The sequence below is a fragment of the Homo sapiens genome, chromosome 2, assembly GCF_000001405.40.
Source record: "Homo sapiens chromosome 2, GRCh38.p14 Primary Assembly".
Lineage (NCBI taxonomy): Eukaryota > Metazoa > Chordata > Mammalia > Primates > Hominidae > Homo > Homo sapiens.
Window position 1 is genome coordinate 221,510,327 of NC_000002.12, and position 19,929 is coordinate 221,530,255.

A 19,929-nucleotide genomic window follows, 5' to 3' on the forward strand; every position below is an offset into this window, starting at 1 on the left:
AATTTAAACACCATTCCTAAAGTTAAATAAATTATTGTATTGGCTTTGGAGGTTTCTTCCTTCAACCAATAGTTTCTAATTCAGATCATCTCCTCTGGCAAGACACAGTTCTATCCTATTTTCTACGTTCCATCTCCTCCCATTTTTCCCCTCTTACCTTGGAGGTAGTTTTCAGAAAAACAGACAACGAAAAAAAGTGACAGAAAAAAACTATGCTGAAAATGGATTTGCTCTTTCAAGAACAGAATGCAGTATAATCCCATAAATAGGTGAGTAATTCTAAAATGTCAGATGAAGATGGTTTTCACAAAAGATTCACTAAATCTTCCAGAAGAAACTTTACATAAAGCCTGCTAAATCTAAATTAACTCTATAAAAAATATTAAACACAAACAAAAAGAATGCAGTGGGGGAGATGACTTATTATTTTCCCTTCTTGCCTTTAGAACAGATCATCTGATTATTTGAGGAGCTATTTCTCTTTGGTGAGTTTGGAAGGAGTAAGCTTAAACAGTAAAAGTTCCAAAGTAAGTAAACTAAACACATTCAACTAAACTCTCTAATTTACTTCTCTGAAGAGTAACTTCCACTGTCATAAACTCTACTTAAAAACAGCTCTGCTTCATATATGTATAAAGGGAATGGGAATAAAGATTGCTAGCTCCAATCTCTAGTTGATAATCCTGGGGTTCTCTCTCATCAGGGCTCCATACAAAAGCAATGAGGCCACCAAATTTCCATGGAAGTAACTGGTAAGACAAGTGATAGGCTTCTGTATTTTTGGAAAAAAACATAATGCATTCTGTTTTAAAGTGTAGATGTTGCTGCCAGGTTTGATAAAAATACTCTTAGAAACTTTTACTTAGTTTGATCATTGCAGTTTTCCCTGTTAAAGTGAACTAAAAACGGCCTCAGAACGACTCTGTACTTCTATATTTGAGTCCTTGTGGGAGAACTGTAACCTAACTTAGTAGGTAGACAAAATTGACAATCTAATTTAGGAGTATGCACCTATAACAATGGCTGAGTCTTGGCCAATCCCGGCAGCCATGCTTCAACCTCTCATACACTGCTAACTGTTCAAACTGTGTTCAAATAAGGCAAACACCAACCTGTAACCAATCCAGCTGTTTCTGTACCTCACTTCCGATTTCTGTACCTCACTTCCGATTTCTGTACCTCACTTCCGATTTCTGTATGTCACTTCCCTTTTTTGTCTATAAATCTTCTTCCACCACATGTCTGCGGGAGTCTGTCTGAATCTGCTGTGATTCTGGGGGCTGCCAATTCACATATCATTCATTGCTCAATTAAGCTCCTTTAAATTTAATTTGGCTGAAGTTGCTAATAGGAATTTTTGATTAATCACAATAGAGCATTGTTAGAAACAAACAAATATGTTATTTCAATTTGATAAGAGATGACAATTTAAAAATAGAAGGCAGTACAGCAACCTATAATCACAATAATTCCTTTTTTAAAAAACATGTTATTTCCTTAAAGATCCCTTATTCTTATTCTAACCTTTGTTCTAATTCTTCCATTAGAGCACTGAAAATTTGCTATCTGAAAAACAAAATATGGTTTTCAATATTGCCTTATAAAACAGCTGAAGGAAACAAACTAATACCTAGGGCTCTACAAATTTTTAGGGTATTTTCCTTTTTTTCCCCTCATGCCTGAAATAAAAATGATTATGACTTTAGTAAATTTTGAGATTAAAGAAATATTAATTTGATTTTCAATAAATTAATTCTATTGGAGATATAAATTCAAGTAGATTAAGCAGAACTTAATTGAATGACTCTATAATAATATTTTTAAGTCACAAAAGCCAAGTAAACTTGTTTGCCTAATATGCTGAAGTTTATATTAGGAATAGAAACAAATGGATGCTAAAAATTAAAATGACCACCATGTAAGAAAAAATCAAGAAAAGCGTATATTTTAGATGAACTAAATGTAGAAAGTAAGTAATCATATTTTGTAAGAAAACCCCTGCCATTAATTTGAATTAAAATTACTGAAAATATCTGAAAATACTTTTGAAAGATTTAAATAAGTGCTGCCATATAAACTATCAATCCTCACCACCGCTAGCACATCGCAGCCATGAAATGCAAATCAGGAGACACTAACACCTAACTTGATTGCCCAGGACATTTCACAGAGGATCAAGCTTTTTGATGAGTTGCTATTGTTTTCTTCACCCTTTGATATTTGGGGTACATAAAGATGAGTGGCTCATTATACATCCCCTGATTACAGATAACAGGTCAGGGCACTGAATAAAGGAAGCAGCTGTTCTTTTCTTCTTCCTCTCCTCACACTAGCCCGTCTGAATTTAATACACGGGTCTATGCAGATTAGCGTCATTATGTAGAAATTTCATCCCTTATTAGGTATGTGCATTTATTCATTCATTGGGCCATTTATGTTTTAGCAAACATTTATTAAGCCTTTACATAATAACAGTAATGGCAATAATGAGAGCAACTATTTATTGAGCACATACTAAGAGCTAAAAGGCTGGGAATATGAGGCTGTTCCCTTCAGGAAGGAAGCAGACCACTGCTTCCTCTCACATTTTAAGGAGTGATCTCTGGCAGAGGTGCTTTGAGACTTTCCTGGGGACCTCACCCATGCACCTAACCCAGGCTGTCTGCTTGCAGAGGTAATGGAATAGAAAAACCACCCGAAAGAAAAGGTGCCCCCTGAGTATCACCTGGAGAAAAAGAGTTTAACCAGGAAGCTGGCTTCACCCAGAAGAAGCTAAAATAATAGTGACTGCTAGCCTGGAACAAAACACTGAGGTGGGTACTGTGGGTATCACCCAAACTAATTTAGACAAGAATCCTCTTTTGAGGGAGAGCACAGTCCAATAGGAGACATAAGTGATTCTGTCATTAACTTTATGCATATCTTACACTTGCTCAGCTCCTCCATTTATTTAAAAGTAAAGGCACTACAGAGGCCTGGGAACGAATGAAATATGTTCTGAAGCCAGGGCCAGACCAAGAGAAACACATGTTAAATAATTATTTGATTAACTCCGGCAGCAGCATTGCTAGTCATTGTCATCCAAACGACTTTACAGCCTGAGTTGTCAGGAATCATGATTTATGCAGCTGAAATGACTGCAGTAATAAGTGCTCAGTGCACCTCTTCTTTTTTGTTATGTTGATGGGGCCTGAGAATCACACACACAAGAAGCAGAACCTTTAAAAGACTGAATTCCCCAATGCTACAGTTATTAGCAACGTATTACGATTCTCTGCTGAGGTTTTTAATCCTGGCTCCTCTGATGGGTCACCTTTAAAAAAAATGAGTGTATATATTAAAAATTTTCTGAAAGTTTTTGAGCACACAAGATTTTTAAAAAGTGTTTTATATTTAACAGATACGATCAGGTTAAACATCTATTTTTGGTATTGCATGTAGTGGACTAATGATTTTACACAACTTTCTGCCAGCATTTAATATCATATGTGTTTGACTCTTTCAACATTGCTTATGTCTGAGGAGCACAAAATAAAAATTCTCAAGGAGCTCCCTGAAGAGACCTAGTCTAGACTAAGTGAAATTTATGGAGAATTTGCACTGTCTGTTTTTGGTACAGTACAGAGAAGTCCCAGGGATGGTAGCAAAGATGAGAGCCCCAAAAGCTTGGGATAACAGACGATGATCTTCCTCTTAAAAGTACAAAAGGGTGCTGGCAACAACCCACCCTTTCCCACGGACTCAGTTATACTCCTGTAAGCCGGGGGGAGGGGGTTTGAAAATCTACTTAATGCATTTTGAACTCTTCAGCTTGATGGGTCATTGTCCCAAGAAATCGGTTTGAATCGGCAGCCGAAATACACAGTGTGACAGTGGAAGGTCCTCTGCACCCAGTTTGACAAGGACGACTTGGCAGTTTGTCCAGCCTTACAGGTGAGCCTTTCATAGGACCACATCCACAAAAGGGAACAGAGGAGAGCAGCACATCCCCAGACCTGAATCCCAAAGGAAGTGGACCATTTTCTTGCTTTCGTGTGATGCACTCTTGTAGGGCACAAAAGGTTAGTGTTTAGTCCTTCTCACAGCATGGCAAGTGGAGCTGGTCCCAACCTCGGGGATTTTGGGAGGTTCTGTGGGAAGTGTTTTGGCAGCCTGAGCATTCTCTGTCAACAGTTCAAATTCATGGGAAAAGGCATGAAGCCAAAAGTGCTTGCAGGTGAATTATTTGTCCCTTTCAAGTGCATCTTACTTACCCTGATGACGTGTAAGTGTGTTTATCTTTGTTGGGAGGGACTATCAGGTAGGTCAGTAAATCCTTCCATGTATAAATTATAAATCACAAATGGCATGCAGGAGAAATACCAAGTCAGAATCTGCTCATTTGTTTGTCCGTTTCTCATCCCAAATATTAAACACAAACGATGGGTGAAAAATTGATATTAATCATAATAAAAACAAGACCATGATGTTGACATGCTCCCAAAGTGTTTGGTCATGAGAGAAGAAAAAGTGGAACAACTGTTCTTTGTAAAACATGGATGAGCTGGAAGCCAGAACTGACCCATTTAAAGAAAGCAAGAGAAACAGATCAGGCTTATTATCAAATACAAAAGAACAGCATGTCACTAACAACCTAAATTTATCTCAGATGTACAAAAAAATCTTACTCATCCCAAGCAGATCTCTAGACCAACATTCAAAAATGACTATAAAAGGCATGGGAAGTTGAAAACCTTTTCTAGGATTCTATTTACAAGATGCTACCTCAATTTTTGTTTGTTTGTTTGAGACGAAGTTTTGCTCTTGTTGGCCAGGCTGGAGTACAATGGCACGATCTTGGCTCACTGCAACCTCTGCCTCCTGGGTTCAAGCGATTCTCCTCCCTCAGCCTCCCAAGTAGCTGGGACTACAGGCATGCGCCACCATGCATGGCTAATTTTGTATTTTTAGTAGAGACGGGGTTTCTCCATGTTGGTCAGGCTGGTCTCGAACTCCCAACCTCAGGTGATCTTCCCACCTCGACCTCCCAAAGAGCTGGAATTACAGGCATGAGCCACCACGGCCAGCCAAGCTACCTCAATTTAAGAAACATTATTTGATATCTCATTATTAATTAGTCTTCTTTTTCATATATCACAAAACAGTTGAAAATTACTTAAAAAGTACTCTTAATCAACAATCAAAATTAGATCCTGGCCACATCACACACGGTGGGTGGCTTACCATGCCTGTAATCCCAGCACTTTGGGAGGCTAAGACAGGAACACTGCTTACATCCAGCAGTTTGAGACCAGCCTGGGCAACATAGTGAGACTCTGTCTCTACGAGAAGTTTTTAAAAATTAGCTGGGCATAGTGGCATGCACCTGTAGTCCCAGCTACTGGGGAGGCTGAGGTGGGAGGATCCTTTGAGCCCAGGAGGTCAAGGCCTCAGTGAGCCGTGATTGTGCCACTGCACTCAGCCTGGGCAACGGAGCAAGACCCTGTCTCAAAAATAATAATAATAAAAGACATAGATCTCTTTTGTGTCTGGAAAGCAGACCATAAGAAGATCTACATTTTATTTTTTAAAATAGGATTTTTTCCCCCTAGCCTTGAGGCAGGATCATTTCTAAAGAGGCTCAGATTTGAAGGGAAAAAAAAAAAAAAAGATGAAGTCATAAATCCTTCCCCCAGGAAAAGAAAGAAAAACAAAACATAGCATTAAAAATTTTGGCAGATGGATGATCACCTTCATGTTTTCCTCAAGGCTGTGTTAAGGTTACATTTCTCCTGTCAAAAACACAACCAGGAATCCGTTCCCTGCTATGTAGAAGTGGAGGAAGTGAATGGCTGAAATACAATGACTGAGAAGAGGCCAGGCTCTGTGAAAAGGGGACCTGGATTCCATTCCTAACATTTAACAATTTAAGGTTTCTAGGGGTCAGTTTCCTCTAAGAGTACCAGACTAAATAATTTAAAATATCTCTTTTTAATCCTCAAAAATTCCAAGTCTATACGGTTCCCATGATCTGATAGATTCAATGATTTTTTTTTTTTTTTTTTTTGAGACGCAGTCTTGCTCTGTCCTGTAGGCTGGAGTGCAGAGGCACGATCTCGGCTCACTGCAACCTCCGCCTCTCAGGTTCAAGTGATTCTCTTGCCTCTGCCTCCCAAGTAGCTGGGATTAGAGGCGTCCGCCGCGACCCCTGGTTAATATTTGTATTTTTAGTAGAAATGGGGTTTTACCATGTTGGTCAGGCTGGTCTTGAACTCCTGACCTCAGGTGATCGGCCCGCCTCGGCCCAAAGTGCTGGGATCACAGGGGTGAGCCACCATGCCCGACCTAGATTCAGTGATTCTCAAATAACCTAGGATGCTCTGATAAACCCCAAAGTCACTTACAATTCAGTTCAAATGCCATTGAGCACATTAGTCCAGCACGTTTATCTTTCCTTCCAGGACTGGTGCAGACTCATTTATGGAGCTCAGGAACTGAGCTCCAACACTTTCTCAGCCCTAGGACTGTGAGCAAGGTCCTTTTTTTTCCCCAAATAAATCCACCCCTCCAAACTGTTTATTGAAATTTCTCTTACCTGTCTTAGCAGAGATTCCCAAGCACTCCTGTGCTCTTTTTGTCACTTATTAAAAATCAGATCAGAAAAAAGAGGGAAACAAATGTCTTTGCTCTATGGTGTGAAGGTTCATTCATCCACATGTATTGCTGAGCGCTCCTACGTGTGCCTGACATAGGGAAGGGATGACTGGCACGGCCTGTGTTTCCACAGAGCACATATTCTACTGGCAGGGATAGAACTGTACAGGAGAATAAACCTGGTAATATGAGAGACTGAGGATGGGGCTGGGAAGGTGGTTCATAGGGGATCTCAATTAATAAAGGGCCAGCAATTGTGAACATTACATGGGAAAGCATGCCAGGAAGAAGAGAAAGTTGCAGAAGGCCTACAGTAGGCATGTATTAGACAGACAGAAGATTACTGATGCTAGGAAATGTTGCAAGAGGCATGCCAAGATTGAGATCAGAGTGGTCATCCTGAGCCCACAGGCCCTTAACTCAGTGAGGAGTTTAGTTTTTATTCTCAGTCTGGCAATATGATTTGATACAAATTGTCAAAAGATTCATTTGGCTGCTGGTAGAACGTGGATGACAGGAAGTATGATTAGAAGCAGGGGACCTGTAAGGAGGCCCTTGAGATCCAGCAGAGAGGGCATGGCCACCTGGACCAGGGTGGAGGAGGGCGAGCCGGGAGTCGAGAGTTCCAAGTAAGTGACATAAAGGACTAACTCTGCTCTTCCTCACAGTTGCAGGGCATTTTTTTTTTTTAAGTGGACTTAAGATTCCAAACAAGTGACATACAAAGCAAATTTTGATTTTCCCCTTGGCTGTATCCTTCCAAATGAGTCATGTCTGCATCTACTTAAGCAGACTGGGACACCACTTCCCAGCTCAAGAATGCCACCCGCATGTGCTATCACAACAGCTTTGATGAGGCTTGGCCACCAGGCCCTGGGTCCTGACCACTTGCAAGTGGGCCACACCTTGATAGCAGCTGCATGACAGCACCCACTAACTTGAGGAAGCCAGCCGAGGGGCCAGCTTCCTGAGCGTGATTCAAACCGGAACTAAGGGTGCAGCTGACAAGAGTTTGTCAACAGCCATTGAAGTAAGTGAGTTATGAGGTTTCAGGTTGACATTAGGTAGCTGCTGGTGTGGGCAGCGCAGTGTTGTTTTACAACTGAGGTCTTTACTTTCCTGTTTCCTCCCAGAACAGAATTTCATCTAATTGGGAGGCAGAAAATAGGTAGCTGGTTTTCAGGAAAACTGAGAAATTGAGTGGATTTATTCAGATCTGAAACTGTTCATGCTTCCCCCTCCCCACTCCATGGCTTCTGTGGTTAAGAGCTCAGTCCTTATCCTCCAATGCAAAATGGTCCTCACCTCCAGCTTGTAAGAAACAAGAATCCTCTCCTGATGCCTGTAGTCTAGGTTAGGAAATCTCTCTTCCCTAGACCCCGCTCTTTACCCGCTCCTGCTGCACAACTGTAATCCAGTCATGAACTGTGTGTTTTGAGGTTTCATGTCTATCACCCTTTGCAGAACACACTCTCAGATCCATAGCAGCTGCAAATACGCCCATCCTGTTTACTATTACATCTCTAACATTTGGTAACCTGTAACCTGTAACGATGGCTACTCACCACAAATATGTAGACTAAGTATACGAATGAATGAATGAATGATGACACAGTTGCCTTTAGCATCTAAATGTCTAGACACAGAAAGCAACTCAGACCACTCCTTGCTGTGAACCAAGCTGTACGAAGATCATTTCAGATTTACTTTTCTTTTTCTGTTCCTATGTTTTCTGTTTCTATGTTTCTTGCCATTGTGACTTACATTTCCCTTCAAACAGCCTTGCAACATTATGGGCTTGGCTGAAGCTTGCCAAAAAGGAAACAGCACAATCCTAACACGGGTAAGCAAGCAGGTCTGCTGATAATACTTAAAAGGTGGGAGGAGCAGGGGAGGCAGAATTGTAATGCTCTCTTGCTTGGGAGCACTTGTCTCCCAGAGGAAGGGTTAGATCACTCAACAAAATATGAAACCAGAGAGCAGAGTAGTTTTGAAAAGTTAAAATATTTAGATATGAATAATTTTCAGAGGAAAGATAGCAGTAAAGGTTGGAGGGGTGGGGCTGGTGCAAGAAGAAATAAATCTTATCAAAGGCAGCCTTGGGAGCTCAGGCAGATAGGATAAGAGATAAGTCCCTTTGCAGAGTTAGTCACACCCTCCCACATACAATTCACTTGGCAAAGGTTCCTTTACTAACAAAGCAGGTGCATGTTTTAACCAAAAAACAGTGCAGTGCAACAGCTAGGGTGGCTATAAATGTAGTTTTAAACACTTTTTTTTTAAAGCAGGATATAACAAAACATCGTCTATAGGAAATCTGAAAATATAGGGTCTTATGGCCACAAAGCAAGTCCAAGTTTTCTCGTCGAACTTTAAATGATGGACAGTTTCTGAAAAGGGGCATTTGGACCTTAAGTCGGAGACAACAGAGCTGACATTCCTCCCAAAGCTCTGTGGAGTGGAAAACAGATGGTGATTCCAAAGCAAGAATCTGAGGAAAGGAGCCAGGTTGAGATGAGAAAGGGGCAATTAACAGTGAGAAAACCCAGTTCCTTTCCTTCAGCTCTTCAGACGAATCCAACAGAACTTCTTTTCCTCTGCTCCAGTTATTAGGTTGGTACAAAAGTCATTGCGATCTTTGCCATTACTTTCAATGGCAAAAACCGCAATTACCTTTGCAACAACCAACCTAATGTAAGGACATGCTACCTGGGAGACTCTGCTCATGGATGATATTAATGTTTCTGCCTCTGCCACTCAAAGTCAGCCCTACAAGTTACTATCCCCTAGCAAGGGAGCTACTCAGGGTTTAGAAACAAAGAACATTAAAAAGGCCTGTACATAGTGGTAGAATAACCAAATCAGCCTTTCAAATGCAAGGCAAAGAAGCATTCTATACTCACAGCCCAAATAAACAAAAGCAGTTTACCTCCAATGCAACCTAGAGTCCTAGCCTCGCCCTTTCTCTCCCTCTGGACTGAGACCTCTTTATTTCCTCTGTAGTTTCTCGGTGTCTCTTCTTTTCTCTTTTGCTTCCTCTCCCATTTCGTTTACTGACCATTATCAAAATTTAAAATTAACTTTTAAACACCCATTTTGTGTAATTTTTAAAAAGTATGATGTTCATGCTGATCATGTCATTCCTGTATTGAAAATCTCTCAATGATCCCCACTGTATATACCACAGGATTCAACCAGAAGAACAGAGAAGCTCAAAGCCTCTCATAGCCAGCCCCAATTTGTCCCTCAAACATCCTGCACTTCAATCAAACCAGACAGAGTACCAGTTGTTCTCACTTGGATTGTTCTTTAAACACTTCCCATCACCTACAAATAATGAAATTTTATCTTCTCTTCACAGCCTAAAATCAGCCAGTACCTTTTCTATCAAGCATTGCTACACTGGGGAATCAGAATTCAAATGTTTTCTGTATACACAGCACTTCTGTATACAAACACATATATGTGTCTTTGAACATATATTTATTTACTTTATTATCCAGTAGGCAACTGGTAGACCCAGAGTGTAAGACTTATTTCCTCTAACCACACACACACACACACACACACACACACACACACACAGAGAGAGAGAGAGAGAGCAAGAGGGGGGAGAGAGAGAGAGAGAGAAACACAGACAGTGCCTATTATCTTATCTTAAATATAATAGATGTATCTTTAGGAAGCAGAAGTTTTAAACTGAGTAGCCAAGTGTTTAGAGACTTTCAATTTTACTTTCTCTTCCCCCACATCCTATTTTTGAAAATTCATGTAATCTCTGATTTTGTTTTCTATGAGCTGGTGACGCTGAACAAATGAAAATCATCAATCATTCTTGAAATTCATATTTCATAAGGTAACATCGTAAGAGTTTCATGAAACTCCTCTGCCAGTTGCACTTTTAGCATGAATTTTTAGAAAAAGTATAGAATGACAAAAGGCTACTACACATTCAATAAGTCTTTAAAATATATTTGCATTTTGTTAACCATGGTAGGATCTGCATGCATTTGAAATTGGCTATAACTTATGTTTTGTTATATTGCGCCCCCTTTGACGCTTTTTAGAAAACAACATTTAAAACTACTTTTTGAAGAAACAGAAATTATGAAATTCTGATTATTTCATACACAACAAGGCTTGGACCATATAGTGTTAACCCAAGGATAATTCTTGTAAGAATTCTTCCCTATTCTCAACCCTCGGACTCTATTACCTACTGTTGTGAATGTCAATGAACTAATTATTGCTTGGCCTAACTTCTAGAATCCAACTTCATTCCAAACCTGCCCTTGAGTAAGGAAAGGAAGAAAGCTCTATCTAAGACCAGTGCAACGGGAGGATCTCATTTCCATTTAGATGTTACAGGATATTTTAAAAAGTAGAATTGAAACTGGACTTAAGTTTCCCAGACCAAATGCCAGAGACAGTAGAGATGCTATAGCCAAAATAGGGAAGACAGGAAGACATGTCAGTTTCAAAAGGAAGGGCATGAGGTCAGCTAGTGGGTCATGATATGTTTGAGTTGAGATGTTCAGGAAGCAATTGGAGAGACAGGTCTGGAGGTCAGCACTACTAGAGGCAGAGATTTGGAAAATATCTGCCAAAAGCGTAAGTGTCACAGGAGTTCATGAACTGTAGATTCAGAAAAAGTTTAAGGAAGAACCTTGTAAATACCATATGTCAGAGGTAATTGGAGAATATGGAATTAAAAAAACAAAACAAACAAACAAAGCCAGGAGCAATGACTCACACCTATAATCTCAGCGTTTTGGGAGGCTGAGGCAGGCAGATCACCTAAGATCAAGAGTTTGAGACCAGCCTGGCCAACATGGCAAAGCCCAGTCTCTACCAAAAATAGAAAAAAATTAGGTGGGCATGATGGCACACGCCTGTAGTCCCAGCTACTCGGGAGGCTGAGGCATGAGAATCGCTTGAACCCAGGTGGCAGACGTTGCAGTGAGCCAAGATTGTGCCACTGCATTCCAGCCTGGGTGACAGAGCAAGACTCCATCTCAATAAATTAAAAACAAACAAACAAAAAAACAAATAAACAAAAAACCCAAAATAGGCCGGAAATACAGAGCAAAAGGGAACTAGCATTTACTGAGCACTGCCTGGGACTAGGCCAGGCACTTCAAATATGCATTCTCATTTAATTCTCACCATTTTCCCTTGATATAGACATTGCCAGTTATGCCCATACATGTGAGGCACCAGATAAATTTGAGGCCCAGTGTTACAGATAATGCTACATTCATCGTTGAAGAACGGGGAAGGTGCATGAAGAAACCCAAGAGAAAGCAGAATTTCCAGCCATCAGATAGGGTATCAAGGAAAATGAGGCTTGGAAAAAGAGTCTTGGATTGTCAATATCACACGTTTGAATTCTTTGAGAACTGCACAGGGAAGTGACAAAGACGAAGTTAAGCTGTAGGATTGGTCCAGTGCATAAAGGCACAATTAATCAAAACTTAGCTAAAAACACCTGTTCAATGACCAACCTATAAATGATATACGGTAACAGATTCTTGACACGACACCACTCATTATTACAGGGATTTGAACACTAAGTGAAACTGGTGTCTCTGAAACCGAACTGGCTTACCTAATAAATTCCCACTCTCACCCCAAAATGTGTTTCAAACAAGGTTTCCCACACTTCATTTACTTATGCTTCATTTTTATGAGTTTTACCTTCTGAGAGTTCAATTATGTTCTTGATATGTCAAAAGCAACTTGCCATAAATCAAAGGCAACAATAAAAATAAAATCCTATTATTATTATTATTATTATTATTATTATTATTATTATTTTTTTGAGACGGAGTCTCCCTCAGTTGCCCAGGCTGGAGTGCAGTGGTGCAATCTCGGCTCACTGCAACCCAACCTCTGCCTCCCAGGTTCAAGTGATTCTTTTGCCTCAGCCTCATGAGTAGCTGGGATTACAGGTGCGTGCCACCATCCACCTAATTTTTGACGGGGTTTCACCATGTTCGCCAGGCTGGTCTCGAATTGGTCTCGAATTCCTGACCTCAGGTGATCCGCCTGCGTCGGCCTCCCAAAGTGCTGGGATTACAGGTGTGAGCCACCACGCCCAGCCAAAAGATTTTTTTAAACTGTCTGTCCTTATGCAGCATTTGAAAACCCCAGTACTTCCAATATACCTTCCTCACTTACAAAAGAGAACACTGGCGATCAGTTGGGTAATAAGAATAGCAAGTAGTTACTGGGGCTCTCTATGTGCACTTTCATTAATTCCTTTGATACCCCCAACAACGCTAAGAAGTAGGGGCTATTTTTAATTGGCTAACTAATATATTTAGTCAATAATTTTTTTTTTTTGAGACGCAGTTTCCCTCTTGTTGCCCAGGCTGGAGTGCAATGGCACGATCTCGGCTCACCACAACCTCCGCCTCCCAAGTTCAAGCAATTCTCCTGCCTCAGCCTCCCGAGTAGCTGGGATTACAAGCATGTGCCACCACGCCCAGCTAATTTTGTATTTTTAGTAGAGATGGGGTTTCTCCATGTTGGTCAGGCTGGTCTTGAACTCCCAACCTCAGGTGATCTGCCCATGTCGGCCTCCCAAATTGTTGAGATTACAAGCATGAGCCACCGTGCCTGGCCAGAATATTTTTTAGTAACTTTTTTTGAGACAGAGCCTCCCTCTGTCACCCAGGCTGGAGTGCAGTGGTGTGATCCCGGCTCACTGCAACCTCCATCTCTGAGGTTCCAGAAATTCTCCTGCTTCAGCCTTCTGGGTAGCTGAGATTACAGACGTGTGCCACCATGCCTGGCTAATATTTTTTGCATTTTTAAGAGAGACAAGGTTTCATCATGTTGGTCAGGCTGGTCTCAAACTCCTGAACTCAAATGACAGCCTCCCAAAGTGCTGGGATTACAGGCATGAGCCACCGTGCCCGGCCCTCAGTAGAATATTTTTTGAGCACCTGGTATGTCCTAGGTGCTGGGATAAATTCAAACCCCTTTTGTTAAATTGATGGAAAAAGAGGGGAGTGGAAAGAAACAAACAAAGCAAAACAAATATATATATAAAATGCCTTGTGGTGAGAAACGTTCTGAAGGAGAGGAAAAAAATGACATATATTCCAATGGAGAAAACTGAGGCACCCAAATCATGCTGGACTTGCAGAGGGCAATGCAAAGTTCATGAAGTAGCGGAGCAGAAGTCAGATGCCAAGAGAAAACTCCAGAGCAAAGATGTCCAGCCACGTCCGTGTGCTGCCTCCTCTCCTGCCGGATGCTAACTCCACTTCTTAGCACCAGTATCCAACCCATCAGGTACTGCCTGAGCACCCTTTAATGCTAGGCTTCGGGGTAAAAGAAAGAACAAGTGAAACTTGAGAAAGCATAATCACCTATATACAGTCAAGAGGGAAAGTGGTAAATGACACGTCTCTATGGTTCCTCCAGTGTTTGCCTATCTTTTCAGGACTTTTTGCTGAAATGAGAATGAGAATGAGGATGTAGGCAGTGGTTGGTCCATGTTACATCTTAGTAGAAGTCATTAGAACCCACCTAGTTAGACTTACAATCAGTGTTACATGGGGATGAATGTCACCTGGGAAAAGCGGCTGTAATTTCCTAACAAAGCCTATGTCAAATGAAAAGGCAAATTGGGGAAGACAAGGAAGTACATTGTACTTAGTGACCTTTCAGAATTTACCAAATGCTTAATCATCTACATAAGGTGCAAATATGCTTTAACGGCTTGACTTAACCTGGGAAGATACAACATATAAAAACATCTCACGTCTCCATTTACATTACTAAACACCAGCTGGATTAGTTGCCACACAATTGATGCTTATTAGCACCCAAAAGCTTGATGTGATGGCTACGGCACGGCTACTGCTCATGAATTAAAATGGACATGCTCATACTTAAGGTATGTGTTTCCCAATTCAGAGATTTAAAATGAAGTTTTCCAAGTAACAATTATATTTTTATAACTCCTAAGTTCTCAAAAGTATCCTATTGTCTTATTTACCTGGAAGGAGTGCTGGAGAGAGAAAAAAAGAGGCAATTTTTATAAATCTATAAATATGTAATTTTATAGCCTTTTGAAAGAGTTTACTATTTGCAATGCTCACCAAATTACATGCCCATGATAGAAATTTCTATTTCATAAAAGAATGTGATAAAAATTGACGATGCAGACTAGACCAACCTGTCAGGGACCTCAGTGTTCACAATGGCCTCAGGACAGAGCAGCTGCAAATCATCTGTCCCCGGCAATGTGAGCACAGAGAGGACACCCATCACGCTGCGTGGAACTCCCCATTTAGGCAGATGAAAACAGGCGTGAGACTCAATGCACAACATGTAGATTAAGTTAAAAGGTTAATTTTCTGACTCGTGGTCTGGATAGTAGAGCTGTGGAGGAAAACGAGTTACCATATGCTCCGTAAATTTCCTTTCGGTTAAAAAAGATGAGGGAAAGAGAGAGAGATATGTCCTTGATTCCGTGCCATTAGTTCCGGCAGTGAGGATGCTCACTGTCACGCCTTTCCCAGGTTTGATCTGATGGAGGACGAACGACTCAGTGGTTAGACACAGGCTCGACAGTCAGACAAACACATTGAATGATGTTGCTGCCACTTGAGAGAGCAGGCGAGATGTGGCTCTTAACTCTCAGCTGTGGCTTCCTCAGCAAAATGGGGTTGATATTAAGTGAGGAATAATAATAAGAAACTGCCCACAAAGTACTTGGCACCAGCACTCAATACACCACTACCTGAGTCCTCTCCAGGAAACAAAGTTGGAGCCTATATCCCTTACAGGGAAGAACTGAGATTCTCTGAAAAAAAATAAAACGTTGCCAAGAAAAGAAGCTGGGAGGATAGGAAAGGGTCTACCAAGTACTTTTAGGGACTGTGTCTCCAGAGTGATAGAAATAATGTATAATTCTTTTATAACTCTCTATTAGATACTGTGTTTCCCATTTTATTTTCTAGATAAAAAAAATTGAGGTTTAGCAAAGGTCCAACTGGTTACATAGCCAAAGCAGGAGTCCAATTGAGGTTTATCACATTTCAAAAATAATTATAACTAATATTTATTGAAGAATTATGGCTCAGCACTTTATATACATAATCATACTAAATATATAAGACACTCTTATGAATAAGGAAACACATTATTCCCATTTTAAGCTAAGGAAACTGGGGCATATACAGTTAAGCAGTTGCTTGAGTAAATATGGCTAATAAGTGACAGTGTCAGGATTTGAAGCAAGGCAGTGTAATTCCGGCACTTTATATACATAATCATACTAAATATATAAGACACTTATGAATAAGGAAACACATTATCCCCATTTTAAGCTACGGAAACTGGGGCATATACAGTTAAGCAGTTGCTTGAGTAAATTTGGCTAATAAGTGACAGTGTCAGGATTTGAAGTAAGGCAGTGTAATTCCAGGTCACAGCCACAATACACGTGTGCCTCGAAGGTTGCAGGCAGGATACATGTGTCCCTCGAAGGTCATGAGCCTGATATACACGTCTCAAAGGTCTCCACCTTTCTCCTGTGTGCTCAGGAAACAACACAATCTAGTGTAAAAAAAAAAAAAAAAATTCATGGCTGGGTGCAGCGGTTCACGCCTGTAATCCCAGCACTTTGGGAGGCCGAGGTGGGCGGGTCTCTTGAGGTCAGGAGTTCCAGACCAGCCTAGCCAACTTGGTGAAACCCGCTCTCTACTAGAAATACAAAAATTAGCCAGGCGCAGTGGCGAGGGCCTATAATCCCAGCTACTCGGGAGGCTGAGGCAGGAGAATTGCTCGAACCCGGGAGGCAGAGGTTGCAGTGGGCCGAGATCGAGATCGCGCCATTGCATTCCAGCCTGGGCAATATAGCCAGACTCGGCCTCAAAAAAAAAAAAAAAAAAAAAAAAAAAAAAAAAAAAAAAAAAAATTGACACACAAACACGTTTAAAATGAGCAGTATTAAAATCTGAATCTACCCCCGTCTCTACTAAAAATACAAAAAAAAAATTAAGCCGGGCGTGGTGGTAGGCACCTGTAGTCCCAGCTACTCAGGAGGCTAAGGCAGGAGAATGGCGTGAACCCGGGCGGAGCTTGCAGTGAGCCGAGATCGCGCCACTGCACTCCATCCTGGGCAACAGAGTGAGACTCTGTCTAAAGGAAAAAAAAGAATCTGAATCTACTACTTTGTCCTTACAACAACATAGGAATAAACTAGAACGTTGTGGAAATTGGATAAATTCAACATGCTCCATGTTCTCTTGGTTTAGAGGATTCTTATTAATAACCCTGTTCGGCTCTTGAGGCCTCTTCAGAATGACAAGTGCCTCTGATTAATGTCCACGTGCACATATTCACCTGCCGAGTCTCTCATCAGAAAATATTAAGAAGAAGGGGAGAGAAAAAGAGAAATAGAAAACTAAAGAGGTAGCTGAAATAGATACAGTTCCTCAAAAGATGCCCTGGACAGACCTTCACAATCTCCAGATACAGGACAATGATTCAGCCCCATATGACAGAGGCTCCTGTGGTGAGGCCCACTGAGAGTCCACTCTCATTGTCACCTGGTCATTTACAGCTGAGTATGGAGGCCCCAGCCCCAGCAACCGGGGAGGTCCACCGGGGTCTGCCCGACACTGGGCAGTTACAGACAATGGGGCAAGAGCGTGTGTCTGTGCTTCCTCAGGGCCACCTTCTCAAATCCTTCTTAAGGATTCAACATAACATTGGCCTGGATCAGTTCTGAAGATATCAGCGGTTTATATTTATCTCACAATAGCCCGATGAGGTTCATTGTATTATTATTACCATTTTACAGAAGAGGAAATTGAGGAACAAAGAGATGAGGGAACTTATCTGTCACATGGCTAAGGAACTGTCGGAGCAGGGTGGAGTCCAAGGCAATCTGACTCCAGAGCTCACAAGCTGCCCTGCAAACCCCTCCTTTTAATATTTCGCCAATTTCTGAGGCTCATGAGCAGAGACAAAGACATTCTTTCACAAGTTAAAAGTGTTTATACATCTTTCCCAGGCCCCACCCCTACCTAACCACCCCCAACCCCGCCGTTTCCCCTCCCCTTCCTTCTCTGTGCACACAGCAGACAAACCTTATCTGTTGTTTAAAACATAGAGTTATGCCTGTCTCATTCTCTCTTGTGTAAATGCAGCAAGATTCCTGATACAAAGGCCTGTAATCCATAGTAAAAGTCTGATAAGCGTCTCTTAGGTGAAAGAGCAAACATATTAGCATTGTGGGAGAATGTACTCATTGAGTAAAAAATACACAGACTCAAGAAGACAGGGTGACCAGCATAAAATAGCAAATACTAGCCTTGCTACGCTGCCTCCCTAGTAATAATCCAGGCTCGGTAACCATTTAAACAGGAAGTGTATATTAACCATTAGATGCATCAGCAACAGCAATAACAACAAAATTCGAGCAGCCAATTCAACGTTTTCTCTGCTCATGGACATAAGACTATAAATCCCAGCCACCAACTGCTCACCTTAATCTTATTCCCTTTGAATCACCACAGCCAAGTCTGAACAACTTTTTCATTATAATATTATTATCTGAGTCTTGCAGTGCTTGTTTAGAAAGCATTTTCCTAAACAGTACCTCATTTAATTAACTGAATCATCAATACAACTGGTAAGGTAGGAGTTCTCCTTTTTCCCAGATTAGGAAACTGAGTTTCAGGGAGATTACCCAGCCAGCAGGAGCAGAAACTGGCTTTTCTGATTCTAGGTCCTGTGCTGCTTCCCTGACACCATTTCCCCATCCTCTGATGCCACTTCTATACATTTTTTAGCCTTGGCTTCTGGGTTCCATGCCCTCCTGTGCCATCACCAAATAGGCTACATTCCAGATTTCAAATAAATAAATGGCCCACACAACTAAAGGCATGCTCTTATCCTCTGTCCGACATACTCTCTAACACAACCAGATAAAGATCAAAGTGGCATTTACAGGTCTCAAATACATCAAATGCATGGATCATTAAAACAAAACAAAACAACAACAACAACAACAAAAAACTACGTATATGCCAAAAAAAGTTTTAAAGAAAAATTTTAAAAACCACTCCAAGAGTACATACAATATAGTAATAGATGTTTTCCATGAGTAAGAGGATTGTGCATGGTTTCCTTTACTGCAATAGTCTATTCTTTCTAAATTTTCTATAATTTACATACATGACACTGTTGCTTGACATCAGAAAAAAAAAGATTTCAGAAATGTTCAGTAGTGAAAGCACTGAAAAATTCCAGGTCTCCACAGGAAGGAAGGAAAGGGACTTTGCTGCAGGGGGCTGATTTTGCCCCACCTTGAGGAAGGCTGGAGAGGCTGGGAGAAGGGGCGGTCACCATTCACAAAGCACAGGAGGGAAACTGAGTAGACAGCTTCCTCTCTCCACCAGGAATTGTGACTTCTGGGAAACAGCCACCCCTCCCTGCAGGCTGCCAACTCTCTCCACACCTAAACACGCTGACTTGTACCAATGGAAACGCCTAGCTTTTAAAACAAGGTTACAAATCTGTTGCATCCAGGCAGAGAGGGAGTTGATTATTCTACAGACAGAGCTAATTATTTTGACCTAATGCTTTGAGATCCTCCAGTATCAAATCTGTGACTCCAAATAAATGGAGAGGTCATTATCACATGTTATCTTTACGCCTGGACTTAAAAACAAAATTTGAGACAACGCTGAAGGGCATAAGCTTGCTCACTGTAGTAGCTTTAGTACAACACTTTCTGCAAAGTTGCTGACAATGGAGTATGAAGCACCAGTCTCCAACACCGAGGGTTTCTAGGTGTGACACCATGGAACTTTTAGACACAAAGCAAACAACTTTTGTTTTTCCCCTACATTTGAGGAAACCCACGAGTCTATTTTCCTGGACATGAAGACAGAACACTGATAACAGAAAAAGGGCTCTCTTGTGAGTTATTTTCATCTGAGGATGTCCGACCTACCACAAAACCACCCAAGAAAAAGAGAGAAGAGCAGATTCAGAAAGCGAAATTATTTCAAGTGTTATGTTAACCGAATATCCAAATAATAAACACCCAACGCAAACAGTCCAGTAGGGGCAGGTAATAAATCATAATACTTGTGGGGATCAGATCTCATTAGATTTGAAAAAAGGAACATTGTTGCACAAACTGGTTATTAGAACAAGGTTCTCTCTCCCTGCTTTTTTTTTTTTCTCTTAAAAAAAAAATTGGGACAAAGCCCAAATCTTTTACGATGTAATTTCTTTCCTTATTGTACATGTCTCAGCAAG

At 41.1% G+C, this 19,929-nt stretch overlaps 1 protein-coding gene across 4 annotated transcripts in view, besides 5 other annotated features; it reads right to left on the reverse strand.

Moving 5' to 3' along the window:
• The window catches only part of EPHA4 (EPH receptor A4), a 156,176-nt gene that overhangs the window by 92,300 nt on the left and 43,947 nt on the right, over positions 1 to 19,929 (reverse strand). The gene's annotated exons all lie outside the window — the stretch shown is intronic.
• Positions 6,840 to 8,039: an enhancer, noted in NCBI's record as "P300/CBP strongly-dependent group 1 enhancer chr2:222381886-222383085 (GRCh37/hg19 assembly coordinates)". NCBI's record gives its function as "activates an origin of replication core promoter dependent on BRD2, BRD4, P300/CBP, MED14 and CDK7 cofactors, with strong dependence on P300/CBP, by STARR-seq in HCT116 cells {active_cell/tissue: HCT116}" and the evidence as "EXISTENCE:reporter gene assay evidence [ECO:0000049][PMID:35650434]".
• Positions 7,013 to 7,514: an enhancer, noted in NCBI's record as "H3K4me1 hESC enhancer chr2:222382059-222382560 (GRCh37/hg19 assembly coordinates)". NCBI's record gives its function as "activates a minimal SCP1, AML or CMV promoter by ChIP-STARR-seq in naive H9 embryonic stem cells {active_cell/tissue: H9 hESC(naive)}" and the evidence as "EXISTENCE:reporter gene assay evidence [ECO:0000049][PMID:30033119]".
• Positions 7,363 to 7,657: an enhancer, noted in NCBI's record as "tiled region #1377; K562 Activating non-DNase unmatched - State 24:Quies". NCBI's record gives its function as "activates a minimal TATA promoter and a strong SV40 promoter by Sharpr-MPRA in K562 cells {active_cell/tissue: K562}" and the evidence as "EXISTENCE:reporter gene assay evidence [ECO:0000049][PMID:27701403]".
• Positions 7,515 to 8,014: an enhancer, noted in NCBI's record as "H3K4me1 hESC enhancer chr2:222382561-222383060 (GRCh37/hg19 assembly coordinates)". NCBI's record gives its function as "activates a minimal SCP1, AML or CMV promoter by ChIP-STARR-seq in naive H9 embryonic stem cells {active_cell/tissue: H9 hESC(naive)}" and the evidence as "EXISTENCE:reporter gene assay evidence [ECO:0000049][PMID:30033119]".
• Positions 16,790 to 17,290: an enhancer, noted in NCBI's record as "H3K4me1 hESC enhancer chr2:222391836-222392336 (GRCh37/hg19 assembly coordinates)". NCBI's record gives its function as "activates a minimal SCP1, AML or CMV promoter by ChIP-STARR-seq in naive H9 embryonic stem cells {active_cell/tissue: H9 hESC(naive)}" and the evidence as "EXISTENCE:reporter gene assay evidence [ECO:0000049][PMID:30033119]".